Source organism: Homo sapiens, chromosome 12, assembly GCF_000001405.40.
Source record: "Homo sapiens chromosome 12, GRCh38.p14 Primary Assembly".
NCBI classification, from domain to species: domain Eukaryota; kingdom Metazoa; phylum Chordata; class Mammalia; order Primates; family Hominidae; genus Homo; species Homo sapiens.
The window spans coordinates 70426115-70444388 of NC_000012.12; the positions used below are offsets into that span (position 1 = coordinate 70426115).

General features: G+C 39.3%; 1 protein-coding gene and 1 pseudogene across 1 annotated transcript in view; one reads left to right on the plus strand and one right to left on the minus strand.

Moving 5' to 3' along the window:
- The window catches only part of KCNMB4 (potassium calcium-activated channel subfamily M regulatory beta subunit 4), a 68003-nt gene extending 59825 nt beyond the window's left edge, over positions 1 to 8178 (plus strand). Inside the window, exon 3 of the mRNA NM_014505.6 lies at positions 4371 to 8178. Coding sequence (NP_055320.4) covers positions 4371 to 4539 — 169 coding nt within the window. The 3' untranslated portion in view covers positions 4540 to 8178. The remainder of the gene's footprint in view (positions 1 to 4370) is intronic.
- Positions 17670 to 17809, minus strand: RNU4-65P (RNA, U4 small nuclear 65, pseudogene; annotated as a pseudogene).

Genomic DNA, 18274 nt, shown 5'->3' on the forward strand with positions numbered 1-18274 from the left:
GAAACCCCATCTCTACTAAAAGTACAAAAATTAGTGGGGTGTGGTGGCAGGCGCCTGTAGTCCCAGCTACCCAGGAGGCTGAGGCAGGAGAATCGCTTGAACCCAGGAGGCGGAGGTTGCAGTGAGCCAAGATCGTGCCACTGCACTCCAGCCTGGGTGACAGAGCGAGATTCCGTCTCAAAAAAAAAAAAAGAAAAAAAGAAAATGACCTGAACATAAGTGTCAATTAGGCAGTTTGGGAAATAGCTAGCTAAGTAGCATTGCATTTCATATTTCATTTTTTTAACTATTAGAACTTTACACAATGCTTCTTAAACCGAAGTGCACATAAGAATCATCTCAGAGCTTCTCCAAAATGCAGATTTCTGGATCCCACAAACTCAGATGCTGATTATAGTAAATCAAGGGTTGAAAACCAGGGAACTGTACTTCAACAAGCACCGTTAAGTGATTCAAATTTGAGAAAAGCTGGCTTAAGGGTAAATAAATAGTACAATTTAAAAAATCTTACAGACAGGGTTTCAAATCATGTCATTATTTTAAATTGTGTAATCCTGGGGAAACTAATCTTTTTTACCTCAGTTTCTTCCATTATAAAGTGAAAATTAAAAATTACTTGAGCAAAGGGTCATTTTAAGGATCAAATGAGTCTGAATGTCCTACCACAGCACCGGGAGGATAGAAAGCACATAATAAATGCTGACTGTCATTATTATCACCACATATTTTCAAACCTTGACTCAGGGTAGTGCCAGTGCTTAGGGAAGTTTTTCTATGGGTACCCACAGTATTTACTCTTCTTTTGTAGCCCTGACCCAGGGCTTAAAAGTGTTTTTCATTTGTGTTCCTGCATACTCCAAGAGAAATCTCTTGCTTGCTTTTTTGAAGTCCCTAGATATAGAGTAATTACCCCTTTTTTGCTTATTGTCCACATATTCTTGTCACCATCCTGGTTTTATTATGTCAGCTCCCGTCATGCCATTTATCCAGTTTGCCACATGTGGCAAACAGTGATTATTTATAAAGAAATTGTAGTTCATTCCCTACCATATAATTACGGCAAATTGAATTCTAAGCCCAAACCCCTTTGCAAATAGTTTTTGGCTAAACAATCTGAAAACTGCCTGCCTGATAAAATTGGAGGAAACTGAGACAGGGGAGTGCCTTCAATTAAGGCACTACAAGCCCAGTTTGAATGAGCTAGACTTTAATTAGGACACAAGAAGCAATTTAGAGATAATCTCACTAAATCAAAAAACTGAATGATAAGCGTGAGCATTACTGTGCAGAGAAATGATTTTCCTGTTGAAGGAGATTATGGAGCACCTTAGAGCTGTAGGAAGTGGAAACGGACATGAATTATTTTTAAAGAAATGTGTACATTTATATATAACATTTGCACCTCAAAGAACGCTTTTGAAGTAATTACAAATTCAGTATAGCTAACTCGGAGGGACTGATGTTGTTTTGTCATTTAAGATATTAAAATAAAGTTTTACTCCAAGCGCTCTGGTAGGAGGTGGAATGCCAAGAAGTTTCTGAATAAAACAAATATCTGGGTCCAGCATTTTCCAGTTATTATTTTTCTCTCCTCCTCTTCTTTTTACTCACATTCTTTTTTGGTACATGTTCTTCAAACTGTGTTTCAGAAAATATGTATGATTCCCACCACTGTCATCTGGGCTATTTTTCTGGCTCAATTGCACAATATTGTGAAAGCATTCAACATCAGTTAAGAGTGACTGGAGTATGAATACAAACGAGGATCCACGCTGAAGCATTTTACTAGAAAATTAGTTGCAAAAACATATTACTTATGGAAATTACATGCACATTTATTAAAATAATGTTAAAAAATCCAAGTCCCTCACCCTGAATCCTTTTTCTTTTTTTTAACATCAAAACCATTTTTTTTTCTTTTGGAGGCAGGGTGTCACTCTGTCACCCAAGCTGGAGTGCAGCAGCTTGATCGTGGCTCACTGCAGCCTCGACCTCCTGGGCTCGAGAGATCTCCCACCTCAGCCTCCCAAATAACTAGGTCTACAGGCATGTAGTTTTTTGTAGAGACAGGGTTTCGCTATGTTGCCCAGGCTGGTCTTGAACTCCTCATCTCAAGCATCCTGCCCGCCTCTGTCTCCCAAAGTGCTGGGATTACAGGCATGAGCCACTACGCCCAGCCATCTTAACCATTTTAAAATGTACACTTCAGTGATACTAAGTAAAATTCACATTGTTGTGCACCCTTAGCCATTTTGATGAAGAATTTAAGACTCATTTTTGTATCAGTAGATTATGGAGGAGCATAATAGTCCTTCACAGAAAGAAGGAAAGAGCAACCTGAGAGACAGCTTTTACCTTCCCTCACACTTAGGGAGAGGTTTTTGACAGCTATGAGCACTGTACCTGGGAAAAGAATCACGGCAGTGCTGGGATGGGGATTTCAGACTCTTAAATATGATTCTTTCTATCCTGTGTCCTGACTCTTTTTTTAGACCTCAGCCTTGACTTTTTTAGACTTTTTAGACAAGCATGAAGTTTCTTGAAAATTTGCATGGATAATAAGGCTGCAACAGAGGCAGGCTCCTCTTTCTCAGTAGCAACATCTATTTGTAGAATAGCAGCAATGACAATGTCATAGCCCTAATGGGCCTTACAGAAGAAAAGAATATATACATCAATGTATACACATATACTAATGGTAGCACAAGTCTTGGAGATAATTTCGTGCTATAAGAATTCCAAAAAAAGGCAATTTCTGAAAGCTGGGATGATTGTTGCCTAATTGTTAAAATGACTGCGTTTACTTAATATAAATTTTATTTGAAATACTATGAAATAAAACATCAATAGAAATCTTGTATTATGTGCAAAATTTGAAATTACACTGTGCATCAAAGGAAAAAATGCAAGGATTTTGTAATTTCAAAGCCAGTCTGTAAAACTATTTATGTTAATGGCACATGATAGCTCCACTATAAGTAAAAAGAAATACCCAACACCCTTTGTCAATCTTCAGGGAAAATGGGTTCTGAATTATGAGAGCTGTGACTAATGAGTGATTTTCAGGAATGCATTTCTGTGTTAGATGCACTGCCCTTGTGCTCTGAAGGCTTTGATGTTCTTAAGGGCAGTTGGACTCATTATTCTGCATTATTTTCATTTTTTTCCTGGAGGAAACATAGCTACTCTAGTGTAGCAGGGCAAACCTTGTGGATGAAACGGAAATATCTTACAAAATGTAAACCTCTTGTATTAAAAAGTTAAAATTCCGGCCGGGTGCGGTGACTCACGCCTGTAATGCCAGCACTTTGGGAGGCCGAGGAGGGCGGATCACGAGGTCAGGAGATCGAGACCATCCGGGCTAACATGGTGAAACCCCGTCTCTACTAAAAATACAAAAAAATTAGCTGGACGTGGTGGCGGGCGCCTGTAGTCCCAGCTACTCAGGAGGCTGAGGCAGGAGAATGGCATGAACCCAGGAGGCGGAGCTTGCAGTGAGCCAAGATGGCACCACTGCGCTCCAGCCTAGGTGACAGAGTGAGACTCCATCTCAAAAAAAAAAAAAAAAAAGAAAAAAGTTAGATTTCCAGGATCTCTTTCTAATGGCCGAAGATTAGAGATCATGGCTTGTGGAGCACATCTCATCTTCACTTTCTGTGAATGGGACCAATGCAGGAATTGAAAAATAGAGCCTCACATTGACAAGACAGAAATCTATTGCTAGGACTTTGCAAGATTTATTAAGAAAGTGGTCAGTGTTTTAAAATGACGGCTAATTTCACCCAGAAGCATGGAAAAAGGCACTCATTCAGCCATTGTCTGCTTATTAATAAAAACCTGTAGCTTACATAGTGAAGCTGAGTTGCCCTGAGAATTACACCAGCTGTCTTTCTGACTAAATTCAAGCAGTGGCTTTAACTGACCTTTTTTTTTTTTTATCTGAATTAAGATCATTTGGGCCACACCTATGAGCTGAGGTCTAGTTCAGATTTGTTGGAGAATGCTCACCCATCAGTAATTTTTTGACTGATTCAAGCCCCTTGACCAATGGACATTAGAGGATGAATGAGAAAGTGGAATACATTAAGTAACTTAGAATGAAGAAAAATCATAGCATAAGAGATACATTTTTGACACTTTGTAACATGTAAATTATAATTAATACATAAATTTGCACCAATTACTTGACTCAAGAGCTCAAAACTTTCTGTAATGGGTTTGAAGCACAAAAATACAGTGTTTATAGTCAGAGTGCAGCCTTTACTTTCAATAATGGTTATGGAAAGCAAGTTTGGCTTTAGGTTGTAAAGAGTTTTTCAGTGCCAAGGCATTTGACTGCCCTTTCTTTCTTATTCTCCATTGTCTTGCAGACCAGATGATGTGCTTCTGCATCGCACTCATGATGAGATTGTCCTCCTGCATTGCTTCCTCTGGCCCCTGGTGACATTTGTGGTGGGCGTTCTCATTGTGGTCCTGACCATCTGTGCCAAGAGCTTGGCGGTCAAGGCGGAAGCCATGAAGAAGCGCAAGTTCTCTTAAAGGGGAAGGAGGCTTGTAGAAAGCAAAGTACAGAAGCTGTACTCATCGGCACGCGTCCACCTGCGGAACCTGTGTTTCCTGGCGCAGGAGATGGACAGGGCCACGACAGGGCTCTGAGAGGCTCATCCCTCAGTGGCAACAGAAACAGGCACAACTGGAAGACTTGGAACCTCAAAGCTTGTATTCCATCTGCTGTAGCAATGGCTAAAGGGTCAAGATCTTAGCTGTATGGAGTAACTATTTCAGAAAACCCTATAAGAAGTTCATTTTCTTTCAAAAGTAACAGTATATTATTTGTACAGTGTAGTATACAAACCATTATGATTTATGCTACTTAAAAATATTAAAATAGAGTGGTCTGTGTTATTTTCTATTTCCTTTTTTATGCTTAGAACACCAGGGTTTAAAAAAAAAAAAAAGGTGAGGACATCTGGGTCTCATTTGCTTCTGCTAGGTTAAACTTTTACTTGACAACAAGGATTCCTGCTGAAGTCTGAACCTTACTGTGTAACCCTCAGTTTCCACTATTAAAGAGTATCTTTTGACGTCTGCTTGGAAAATGAATAGTATACTGGTAACTCAGTCTCCAGTCACCTCTGTGTCTCTTAAGCAAGAGATTCTAAAAGATTGGGAAAACATATCCTCCAACACCTGCCTTTGCCTAACCATTATTTTTCACCAGATTACTTCTTAAGAGAGGGAGGTGATTCTGAAGAAGGCTTCTATCTCAAAAAGCACTGGGCTTCCTTATTCATCTGTTCTTGTTGTTTTTGACGGAGTTAAAAAAGTTTGTGTGCAATACAATATACATGATGTGAAGGACACTCTTCAGCTTAGTGAAACGCTGTTTTCATTTTTTTTTTTTTTTGTAGGTCAGAAAAAAACAACAAAATCAGTTCAAGCATTTTTTTTTCTTTGTCCTTGCCTTGATGTTATGAGTATTAAAACCAGGAGGATTGCTGCCATTGTGCAGTTTGCTTAGACAAACCTGGAGATGCAACCCAGCTCACATCATTGCTACTGATGAGCTTTCTGTGCCTTTATCAAAAGTTGATTGAGAAGACCATATTTCTTTGTATCTTTTTATAAACTCAAATTCCAAGTATCAAATCGCAGGTCTCAGTGAACATCAAACCTATTTACTACATAGAATCAAACCTTTGTTTAGGTGAGATGTACATCGTTAGTGGAGGAAAAACTGACAACCTAATTTCATTTGTTTTCTTCTGATACTCTTCAGACATGCCTCTATTAGAATAAAGGTAAACTGGAATTTAAAGACAAGTTCCCCTCAGTTATTTCCATGGAGCTGTAATATGTATATATGGAGTGATGGTTTCCTGACCTTTAGTCCACATACCAATGTTTTCTTTTTTCTTTTTTTTTTTTTTTTTTGAGATGGTGTCTCACTCTGTTGCCAGGCTGGAGTGCAGTGGCACGATCTCGGCTCACTACAGTCTCCACCTCCTGGGTTCAAGTCATTCCTCTGCCTCAGCCTCCCGAGTAGCTGGGACTACAGGCACGCACCACCACGCCTGGCTAATTTTTTTGTATTTTTAGTAGAGACGGGGTTTCACCGTGTTAGCCAGGATGGTCTCAATCTCCTGACCTTGTGATCTGCCCACTTCACCTCCCAAAGTGCTGGGATTACAGGCCAATGTTTTCTTAATCTTAGAATGTGAATAACTGAAAATCATAGTCTGTGGAAAGGTGTTGAATTGAGTATAATCTTCTTCTGTTTATTTTTGTGTTTTGTTTTTTAACAGATGGGTATCTTGCTATGTTGCCCAGGATGGAGTGCAGTAGCTATTCACAGGTATGATCATAGCACACTGCAGCCTCAAGCTCCTGGGCTCAAGCGATCCCCCTCCCTCAGCCTCCCAAGTATCTGGGGTTACTGGTGTGCACCACCGTGCTTGGCTCCAATAATTTTTTTTCTAATTCAAAAGTTACAGTTTCACTGTGAAAAAGGCCTTGAACACACTATTTATGACATCTTTTGAGGCAGCTCCAGTGCCTTGACTTCAATCCCAGTTTCCGGTTGCAGCATCCTTGTTGTCTTAGCAACACAGTGAACTATTCTGAAGCATAGAGTAACACGAAACTGGGAGTCCGAGAAATAATCATCTCTGCATCACATTATGGGAGACGAAGTCTGCTTTATCCATTTTATCTTTATTCAGTTGTCTATGATTAATTGATTACAGAGTAGTAGATTAGAATAGTGCATGGATATACATTTGTGTTGAAAAAAGGGGAAGTTGATATATATCAATCTTAGTTTTCATTTATCAGTTTGATATTCATGCATTTACACTAAACGCTTCCATTTATCCCGAAAAAGTATATGCAACTGTATTCTGTAGGTTGATTTTTGGAAAAGGGGAGAAGCACACTGAATTCATAAGGTCACATGTAGTCTTAAGGTCTTACTTGCTTACAGCCAATTAAATTTGAAGCACCTTATTTATACTTGTTAAAGGTAAAACCCAAAAGAACAAGCAGAGGACATTTTAAGGTCATAAAAGGTAAATAAGCTTACCTTCTTAATGTTTTCATTCTCTTTTTGTATAAATCAGAAAATGATCTAAACTGCTGTAACAAAGAGACCCCAAAATATGATGGCTCATGTAAGATAATTTATTTTTTTCTCACATAGCAATCCAGAAGTGGCTTCATTTCACAAGGTATTCAAGGGATATAGGAGTCATCTACCTTGTTAGTTCTCTTAATACCCAAGGGTATTGTTCTTTCCATGGTCAAAGCTGGCTCAAGACTTCCTAGCCTGTGAAAAAAGAAGAAGGTGGAGCAAGCCATTTCCTTTTTAGGAAATTACAGCCATCACTTCTGCCCACCGTCCATTCATGAATACTTACTATATAGCTATACCTAGCTTCAAGAAAGCCTGGGACGTGTCTCTAACTAGATGGACATGTGCCCTACTAAAACTCCAGGGAAAGGGTTCTATTACTAAAGCTAAAAAGAGGGGAATGAATACTAGAGTTAAAGACAAAAATGATAGCAGCCAATGGCCCATGCCGTGATAATCTGCTGAGCAGGCATGATGGAGATCCCTTGCCCAGCAGAAAGTGTTCCTTGGTGAAATCATGAATCTGCTATCTAGGAGAAACTCCCTTGTCCATTGTCTTCTGTGGCCACTAGTTTGACCTCTAGGAAAGTCTTGCTCGTCAGCTTCTGTGGCCCCGTCTGAAACTTTTGAGGGACATCGCAGCTTTTGCAGCCCCTGCTTGCTGGTGCAGACTTTTAGACCTAGATTGCCTTAGAGACTGAAAAATATACGCTTTTATAGGCCGGGGTTTTAGTTCATTTGACTGTAATAAAGACGTCAATGCCGTTTTTAATGTTTGACTGCTGACATCTTTCAAGACTCACCTTTCCCTTCTCCCTTATGCTGCACATCTGGGCAAGCTGATGGAAGCATGGGTGCCTCCTCCTTTGGCCCCAGCAGGAAGTTCAAATCACGCAAGCCCTGGCATGCATGCAGGAAGCTTCACCCCAGCCTCACACTCTAAGACGGATAAAAGCCAAACCAATTAAGCCGTTTCTCGACCCTCCTGGGAGCCTGCCCTATCTCCCTGGAAAGTCTCAGTATGTGAGTAATAAACCTTTTTATACCCATTTCTTGTGTGTGTGGCATTATCAGTCTCAGCATCCGAACTGAATTCGTGGTAATTTTCTATGAATTTTGGGAGGAGGAAGTTCATCTGACATCTTAAGGGTCATCATAGCATTGGTGACATCATTTTATCAAAAATACTAGAGGTTTCTGGTTCATTTGCTTTCAGTCAGTTCATGTGAAAGTAGCCACAGCCAAAGAGCTGTTCTAGTTATAGTTCTTTAAGCCAGCAATGTGTTATTTATTAGTCACTGTGCCTGGCCCATACCTCTGTCCCTCAAATTAATGGCAGCCATCTTGAAGTCTTCTCCAACAATGAGTTTAAGTGGTGATGCAACATTCTTCATCTGATCTTTTCTGCCGAAATGACTCCCATTGTCTGACCAGTAACACAATGGAGACTTTTTTTTTTTTTTTTTTTTGAGACGGAGTCTTGCTCTGTCACTCAGGCTGGAATGCAGTGGCGTAATCTTGGCTCACTGCAACCCCTGCCTCCCGGTTCAAGCAATTTTCTTGCCTCAGCCTCCTGAATAACTTAGATTACAGGCTTCTGCTGGCTAATTTTTGTATTTTTTAGTAAAGACAGGGTTTCACTATGTTGGCCAGGTTGATCGTGAACTCCTGACCTTTGGTGATCCCCCCATCTCGGCGTCCCAAAGTGCTGAGATTACAGGCGTGAGCCTCTGCACCCAGCCACAGTGGTGACTATTGAACAAAACTGAATAATAGTCACATCTCCTGCTCCCTTGAATGCAGAAGCAATTGTACTTCAGGGCATGGTGTTATCTACTTGCAAACTTTTTATTTTTTGATCTTACAGCAACTACTTTTGATAGTACCTCACTAAAAACATCAGCAAGGAGCCACCAATATACATTAACCACTCTGGTTCTAACTGCTTTCCCCATAGCTAGTCTGCCTTTCAAATTGTTGCTGGTGTCAGTTTTACCTAGTGATTGGTCAAAACATAACAAGGGTCTCTAGTTTTTCATCCTGCAATATCTGTTTCCACACTGCCGGTTGCCTGGCAACACAATACCAGAGCCACATATTTTAGATTTTTGTTATGATGGCACTTTTCCATTCCTACGTATCAGTCAGCTAGAGCTGCATAACAAATAGCAAAGACTGGGTGGCTTAAACAACCAAAATTTGTTTTTTAACAGTTCTGAGGGCCAAAAGTTCAAGGTCAAAGTGTTGGCAAGTTTGGTTTCTCCTGAGGCCTCTCTCCTTGGCTTGCAGATGGCTCCCTTCTTGCTGTGTCCTTACACTAGGCACTTGTGCCCCTAATGTCTCCCTGTGTGTTCCAGTGTTCTCTTATAAGGACACCAGTCTTATAAGATTAGGGCCCCTCTCTATGATTTCATTTAACCTTAATTATCTCCTGAAAGGCCCTATCTTCCAATATAGTTACATTGGGGCTTTGGCCTTCAACCTATAAATTTTGGGGGTCTACAACTTAGTCCATAATATTCTGGTACTGAATTTAAAACTATTAGGGTGTCGGCTAAGCCACTGTAACAGAGAAACCCCCAAATACTGTAGTTCCAATAAGATAATTTATTTTCTTTCTTGTAGCCATCAGGAGGTAGCCCATGAAATTGTCCAGGGACTTATATTTATTCTACCATTATTTTTACTCTATTATTATTTTATATTATTATTATACTTATTCTACCATTTATTCTGCCATTCCCTAGAGTGTCCTCTTCATAGTGGTCAACCTGTGGGATGGAGAAGAGAAAAGTAAAGGGCAAGCACATACATTTGAATAAAATGAGATAGAAGTTGCACACATCAAGTTTGTATATTCTTTTGGTAAGAAATTAACTGCAGAGGAACCTCTTGCTGAGCAGCCATGCCTTCTAAAACCTGGGACAGAGATTTTATTATTAAAATGAGGAAAGGGAGAATGAACGGGGGGGAGGATTATCAGTTCCTTCCTACATTCCTCTTCTATACATCTTACATTTTGTATTGAGTATGAGAAGAGACCTGAAATTTAGATGATTCTTTACATTTTTATTTATCTAAAATTGAAGTTTACCTAATTTAGTTTAATTTAATTATTTTACTGATTTAAATTAATCAGAATTTTCTTAAAATTCAGTAAAAGAAAAAAACGTAAGGGAAGCTTTGTTGCTTTGCAAAATAGGGAGATATTTCAGGAAGGTAAGGGGAGAGGTCTATCCTACAGTATGGAGTACAGAAGTGGGACTTAGAGATAGCCAAGAGAGTTTGAAATATTCAAAGAATATATACAATAGAATCTGTAGCCTTTTTTAAAAAAAAAATTAGAATTTCCATCTCTCTGAATGTATTCCAGTTGTAAAAAAAAAATGTATTGAGTGTCCCATCATATGGAAGTTTTTAAAATTGTAGGAAATAAAATATTCAGAAGGCTACACAAGGTATTAAAAAAGGGGACAGGGATATAATAGCTTACTAGCTTATTAGAATGAATTTGGTTCCTTATGAGGGATAATCTAGAGAAAAGAGGCATAGAATAAGATCTTTGGAACCAAACAGTCTGAGTTTGAATCCTGGCTCTCCCTTTTGGCATCTGTGTGATCTTGGGCAAGCTACCTAATTTCTATTACAGCTTTGTTATCTCAACTGTAAAATGAGGCTGATATTGATATATCATTGGAGAGGACTAAATGAGACCATGCAAAATGTGTACTTGGCACAGTGCCTGATCCACAAATACTGATGATGATGATGATGATGATGGTGGTGGTGGTGGTGGTGATGATGGTGATAATAACAGTGATGATGATGGTAGTATAGCATTAGTGCAGCAAAAAGGAAAAATGGACTCAAAACTAATTTTTCCTAAAAATTTGTGCTTTTATTTATCAGATGCTTCTAACTTAGTCCCCACCAGTCTAAGACTAGAACAATATTGGGATTTTCCTTTTCAGAAGTTCTATCATTGGCAAGTTGTTTTTATTTCCAGAACTCCAACTCAGAAGAAATCACCTCTGAATTCATTGTCTATTTAATAAAGTCAAGATTCTTCAAATTCTCCATTTTATTCAGTATTAAATAACTTTCAAAATATGGCTATCTTGAAAGTCTCCACTTCCTCATACTTAGCAATTTCCAGCATTATTTAAAAAAAAAATGTGTCTTTTCTTTGATGCAAAGCAATTACTGGGATACTTTCTTCTCAGAGAGGAAATGCAAAGAACATGATCCTTTCTGCCTGGTCCCTGTACAACATTGAAAACAACTGGGGTAATTTTTTATTAATGCATTTGTTAAAAAGATGCAACATTTCTATCTCCAAGAAGTTTGAAATATATAAAATGTATTCTGTGTCTCATTATCAGGTCTCTGACTCAGAGTAACTTTTACAAAGGTTTTTATCTTTTTTTCCCCTCTATGCTTCCCAAAGCATGACTAATGAGGCTGATGAATGTCATCATAGGAGCGCCGCGTTTCTGGCAGGTAGAAAAAGATCACATTAGGGCTTGGACTTCCAAGTGACATCTAGAAGCAATGAGAAATTCAAACAAGACTACCCTGAGTCTATGCAGGAATTGGTAGTGTTTGAAATTTGGGAGAAATGTTTTAATTTTTGTGAAAGTCAGTGGTGTTAAAGGTCAGAAATGTAACTACCTCCAGAGTTCTAGCATTCAGGGTAGTGAAGATGTGGTGAGAGTTAATGAAATAAAATCAAGAAAGGAAAAACATACATGTTGGTGTCAGGAGATGTGTCTGGTTAAATGTCAGTTCTTGTTCACAGCAAGTAGAAATGTTCAGTCTTTCAGAGTCACTGCCAAAGGCACCATATACATTTCTCCACATCAGGAACCTGAGAATCGTTTTCTCTTTTCCCAATTCTACAAGGGTTTATAATTCACAGAACCGTGCAGGGATCGCTTTTGGACATTTGTCCCCTTTACCAGACAGCAGTTAATGAACTTGCATCTCTGCTTTAAGCTTAGGACACCTAGGTGAAAGCAGCCACTGCTGAATTAGTGTGTACTTCATTAGAAAACTAATGTGAGGAAGATTCCTGGTGGAAATATGGCAGTGGTTTCTGAGCCTGTGGGCTAGGCAGTGCTTAGTTAGAATCTCAGACCCTGATCCTCCCAGCTCACTCTACCCACAAAGAACAACATATACATATTTATTCTTCTGCCAGTGCTTGAAATCAAGCTTGATCAGCCATGGCAGTAGGATGGGAGGTGACCTAGAACAGACTATGGGAAAGTGAGAAGAGAGTCTCTGACTGGGATGATGTTGATGTGTTCTTGAGGATGTCTTTCTGCATACACCTAGCTGTCTGCAATTATCACTAAGGTGACCTAGAAAATACAGCCAAAGAAACATATACTGAATAATTGTGGGGTATAGTACTATCCTGTTATCTGGTAAATATTAGATATATTTCTTCTCTATAGGATTTTCCGTACATTACCATAATGGATGAGACCCATCCATTCCCTAGCTTTTCTGTGATCTCAGCTGTGATTACCAGATTATTATCTCTTGTCCCCTGTTTCAAGCTCTGGATGTATATCACAATAGCTCAGATGCATTCTTATGTCTCTGTCTCAAGCTTACTGATGGACGGAAATTACAATAACAGAGTAATGGGACAAAATATTCTCAGACAACATGGATAGGGAGCCATTTGCCTGGCTCAGATAATGTGTCCTTCTGAAAAGTTACCATATCAAACCATATAACAACCTTTTCCTAATACCTCAACATTTTCATTACACGCTCTGCAGTTCAGTTGCACTGTACTTTTCTCAGGACCTTGAGCCTCTCTTCTCATCATGTTTCAATATCTGGTTCTTCTGATCCATCAGGTCTAAGCTTAAATATTGACTCTTTCCTGAAGTCCTTTGTATGTATGGTGATCTTATGTAAGCAGATTTCTCCTGTCATTCTCTCCTCTTCATGCCGCTTTCTTCTTTTCTAGTACTTTTAATTGCTTTATTTATTTATTTATTTGTGTACTTGTCCATTACTTATCTCTCTTCCTAGTTCTAAGATTCATGAAGGTAGAACAATGTTGATGGGCTTTTTTTTCCACCACTGACACAGTGCCATATTTATGGAATGAATGAATGTCCTTCCCTGCCTTGGGAAATTTTATTCCACTTTCAAGGCCCAACCTCATCCCTTTATGCTTCCCCGAAGAATTAATCACTTCTTCCTCTGTGATCCCACAAAAATGTGTACATACATCTATCATTTTAAGAATTTAGCATGTATTACAATAATTTATCTTGTGTTATATGGCTGTTAATTCACTGATTCTTTCTTACCTCTCCACCTTGTGAGACAAAAAACATAATTTATTGACCTTTTTATCCATATGATAATAATAATAATTCCCAACTCTTATTAAGTGCTTTCTGTGTGCATTTAAGTTTTTTTTATCAAACATCATTCTAAACTCTTCATTAAAGGTTGGCAGAATGAGACATTAAGCATACTACCTAGGGCATAGTTAACCCTGTAAAATGTAAATGAATGAATAATAAATATCTATTCCAATCTTGGTCTTAAAAACTTATGATGAAGATAAGGTAATGTACTTAAATATTATATACTACTCTTTAAACAGATAGACAGCAGAAAAATTACTGTGTTCACTATCAAATTACCCTAAAACATAGCAACTTAAAACAACAGACGTTTTTTATCTCACACAGTTTCTGAATTAGGAAGTAAGGAATCTGGAAGTAGCTTAGCTGTAATTCTAAATTATTTTTGGTAAAATTATGCCACTTAGAAAGATAAGTCTATAGATTAGGGTTATAGTGGAATAAACATTAGCTCGTTAGCAGGAACCCTGCAGAATTATAGTGGGGAACTTTTTATAAGAATACTGGGATTTGATATATTTGATAAGAATAGTGTATTTGACAGACATCTTACAACAAAAAGTGAGCAAAGTCCAAGTGTCTGCTTTCTTTGGGGAGGGGAATGAAGAGTCTTCCAAAAGAAGTAACTGGAGACGTCAGGGATAGTCTTTTTAATAACTTCAGATAGCTTTCAAGAGTAGATACTGAAACATACATGACCCTTAAGCTTTCCTCACTTTTTGTGAACAGCCTTAAGCCAGAAATAGGGCTTAACACTGCCTTCCCCATGGAAACACTGAAATTGGGAATAGCCCTATGGCCAGATCTTTAACACCTAACTGAAATTTTTGAAAGAGGCCTAGACACTGGGCGCGGTGGCTCACGCCTGTAATTCCAGCACTTTGGGAGGCTGAGGTGGGTGGAACACGGGAGGTCCAGTCCGAGACCAACCTGACCAACATGGAGAAACCCCGTTTCTACTAAAAATACAAAATTAGCCGGACATGGTGGTGCATGCCTGAAATCCCAGCTACTCGGGAGGCTGAGGCAGGAGAGTCGCTTGAACCTGGGAGGTGGAGGTTGCAGTGAGCCGAGATCACGCCATTGCACTCCAGCCTGGGCAACAAGAGTGAAACTCCGTCTAAAAACAAACAAACAAACAAAGGGCCTAGAGCCCTCAGACCTAGAATAAACTTATGCCTTTACAGATAAAAACTAATAAAAGCATCCAGGGAAAGAAGACCCTTGATAAAGAAGTATGTAAATACTGTAAACAGAAAAGATATTGGAAAAACAATTGTGCTAGTTAACAAACTGAAGGGGGGAAAAGGTCAGTAAAAAATAAAGTTGCTCTAAGGGGGACTCAAGTACCCAATTAACCATTTTATTTTTATTTTTATTTTTTTTCTGAGACGGAGTCTCGCTCTGTCGCCCAGGCTGGAGTGCAGTGGCGCGATCTCGGCTCACTGCAAGCTCCGCCTTCCGGGTTCACGCCATTCTCCTGCCTCAGCCTCCCAAGTAGCTGAGACTACAGGTGCCTGCCACCACACCCGTCTAATTTTTTGTATTTTCAGGAGAGATGGGGTTTCACTGTGTTAGCCAGGATGGTCCCGATCTCCTGACCTTGTGATCCGCCCACCTCGGCCTCCCAAAGTGCTGGGATTACAGGTGTGAACCACTGCGCCCGGCCGCTTTACTCTTAAGTTCACGAGAAAAATTTATGTCAATGTTATAGAACAGTCTTGAAAATGTTTTTTTGATGATGAGTATTAGAATACCTCCCTTTAACTCAGGTGCTGAGATATCACATCTCCCAGAAGGTCAACAAACTACTCAGGTGGTGGGATCTATTGTGTAAATGAATCTGCCAGATTAACTGCTCCACTAAACACCTCTTCTTTGAGATCCATAGGGACTTCCCTATTAAAACACAGGCCAAGGCTAGTTTGAAAATGTACTGGTATCCTTGTGCCTAAATCAAGCTCACATTGAAGGTCTCTATAATGTCCTGTACTGGCCTCCTTATGGACTTAAAGTTCTACTGATATACGTAGTGTAGGGGAGGAAAAACTTTTCTTCAACCCTCGTTGGTTCAGTAACTGGGGCCCTGCAAATTAAACTGACCAAAAATAGGCTAGCAGGATAAATAGTTATGTATGCACCCAGAGGCATCCACAGAAACAAAATGAAGACAAAGAAACAGACTTGGAGGCTTTATATACCATTTTAACAAACAGCAGTATAAAGAAGTGGCAAGACAAAGGAAAGGGAGTTCAGCCTTGTAGGGGTGGTAAATTGTGGATTTTCCTGGTATGAAAGAGTGAAGGGAGGACGTTTTCTTAAACAAAAATTTATGCCCTGCTTTCAAGCAAGTAGGGGGAGGGCACAGAGCTTTTCTGTGCCTGCTATTTCTTGATTGCCTTCAGCTTAAAATAATTCTTATGTCAAAGAGGAAAATTTTGGGGTGGCATACTCTGATCTGTAGAATTCAGTAGAATTTTTAGGGCTGAATCTATCAAGGTTATGTTGACACATTCAAAACATATTCAAGCTTGCACAATAACTTCTAAAAACAGTAGATAAAGAACTAAAATCAATAGTTGAAAGCCTAATTTAAAAAAAAGACTCTCTGGCTGGGCGTGGTGGCTCACGACTGTAATCCCAGCACTTTGGGAGGCCGAGGCAGGCAGATCACCTGAGGTTGGAAGTTTTGAGACCAGCGTGACAAACATGGAGAAACCCCATCTCTACTAAAAATACAAAAAAATTAGCCGGGCTTGGTGGTTGCATGCCTATAATCCCAGCTATGCAGGAGGCTGAGGCAGGAGAATTGCTTGAACCCAGGAGGCAGAGGTTGCAGTGAGCCGAGATTGTGCCATTGCAATCCAGCCTGGGCAACAAGAGCGAAACTCCGTCTCAGAAAAAAAAAAAAAAAAAAAAAAAAAAAAAAGACTCACCATAACTTGTACTGGTCCTTACGTCAAATAACACAATCTGCAATGATATATATTAGTTTAGGACCTCAGGGTCATAAACAAAACTGCCATTCCTGAACTTTCTGTATACTGAGCTCTAATACTATTTTCTTGTGGGGTTACATATTCTGGACTTAGAAATCTGTGCTATGCCCTCTTTAGTGGTTCCTTAGGGTAGATTGAAATAGTTAATCGTGCTCACTTTTTCCTGGTAAAGTCAACGATATGCTTTGACAGTTATGCTTTAGTGATTTACCTTTTTTTCACAAGTTCATGATTAGGACCTTCTGAACCTTAAATTTCCTTGAAACTCTACTTGTATCCCATATGTAGATGACCACTTGTTATATTCTAAAAATGAGTTGAGCTCTCTTAGTCATTTATGTTCTTACAGTTTTAACTCAGAAAGGACTTAAAGTTAGAAGGAAAGTTACAATTTTCTCAAAACAGATTGTGTGACTTAGATCAAGATTTATTCAAGAGTAAATACCCCACTTAGGACAGAGGAAAAGCCATTCAACGGTTTTCCAGGCCAAAGCTACACACCATGATATACACCTGTAGTCCTAGCTTCTCAGGAGGCTGAGGCAGGAGCAGGAGGATCTCTTGAGCCCAGGAATTTCAGCCTGTCTAGGATTGCTCCAGTGAATAGCAACTGTACTCCAGCCTGGGCAAAAAACCAAGATCCCATCTCTAAAACAAAAACAAACACAAACAAACTTTTCTGGGCCAGTTATTCAGAGTCAATTAAGAGGATTCCAACTGTCCTAAAATCATCATGACTCTATCTGATTTAAACAAGTTTTAAATAATCAAAACTCTTCCTTGGGAGCCTAGATATGAGCCAGCATTTTATGATTTAAAATGAGATTTTTAACATCTTCATATGCTGAGTCATCTTAAGTATTTTAAACCACTTTACCTATTTGCATATAAGCAATGATGGACAAGCCCTTAGTATTCTGACTCAGCTTTATAGCATTTATCAGAGACTTGCTACAGCTTTCCTCTTGACCCAATGGCAAAAGTGCACCTTCCTTGTCTCAGGGCAATAGCAACTCAGCTAAATTAGTGAAGGCTACTGCTAACTCACTCGTAGGGTCTCCCTTAGACTCAATGGACCCTCATCATGTACAATAGTTGCATGCTAAAAATTCACTATATTTCTTTCTTTTTTTACTTTATTCAATCTGTAGAGATTGTCAAAATTTTCCGATGCCAACTGTATTGCAAATCATCACCACCGGGTATTGGGAAGTTTTCAATTAGCAATAATCACACCTCAGAAAAACCTCACTGGCTGCATGAAGCTGAAAATGTACTTAAAGGATATGCTTACTATTCATGAAATTTTATTGCTTTCTCACTTACGTTTCCTTCCCTGGTAGTACCATAATATATGTACTGTTGCTTTCCTTCTTTTACCAGAAGAAGGGGTAAATCATGACTGCCTAACCTCTGGCCAAGAACAGTCCATGCCCTAAACAGATTAGAAACTCTTCCAGAAAATTGAGAGTTAGCCTTGTTTGTTCATGGCGATACTGTTTGGATTTGTGTTCCTGCCCAAATCTCATGTCAAATTGTGATCCTCAGTGTTGAAGGAGGGGCCTGAAGGGAGGTGACTGGATCATGGGGGCAGATTTTTTCCCTTGCTATTCTCATGATAGTGAATTATCGTGAGATCTGGCTGTTTCAAAGTGTGTAGCACCTTTCCCTTTGCTCTCTTCCTTCTGCTGAAGCCATGTAGGACATGCCTGCTTCTACTTCACCTTCTGCCATAATTGGAAGTTTCC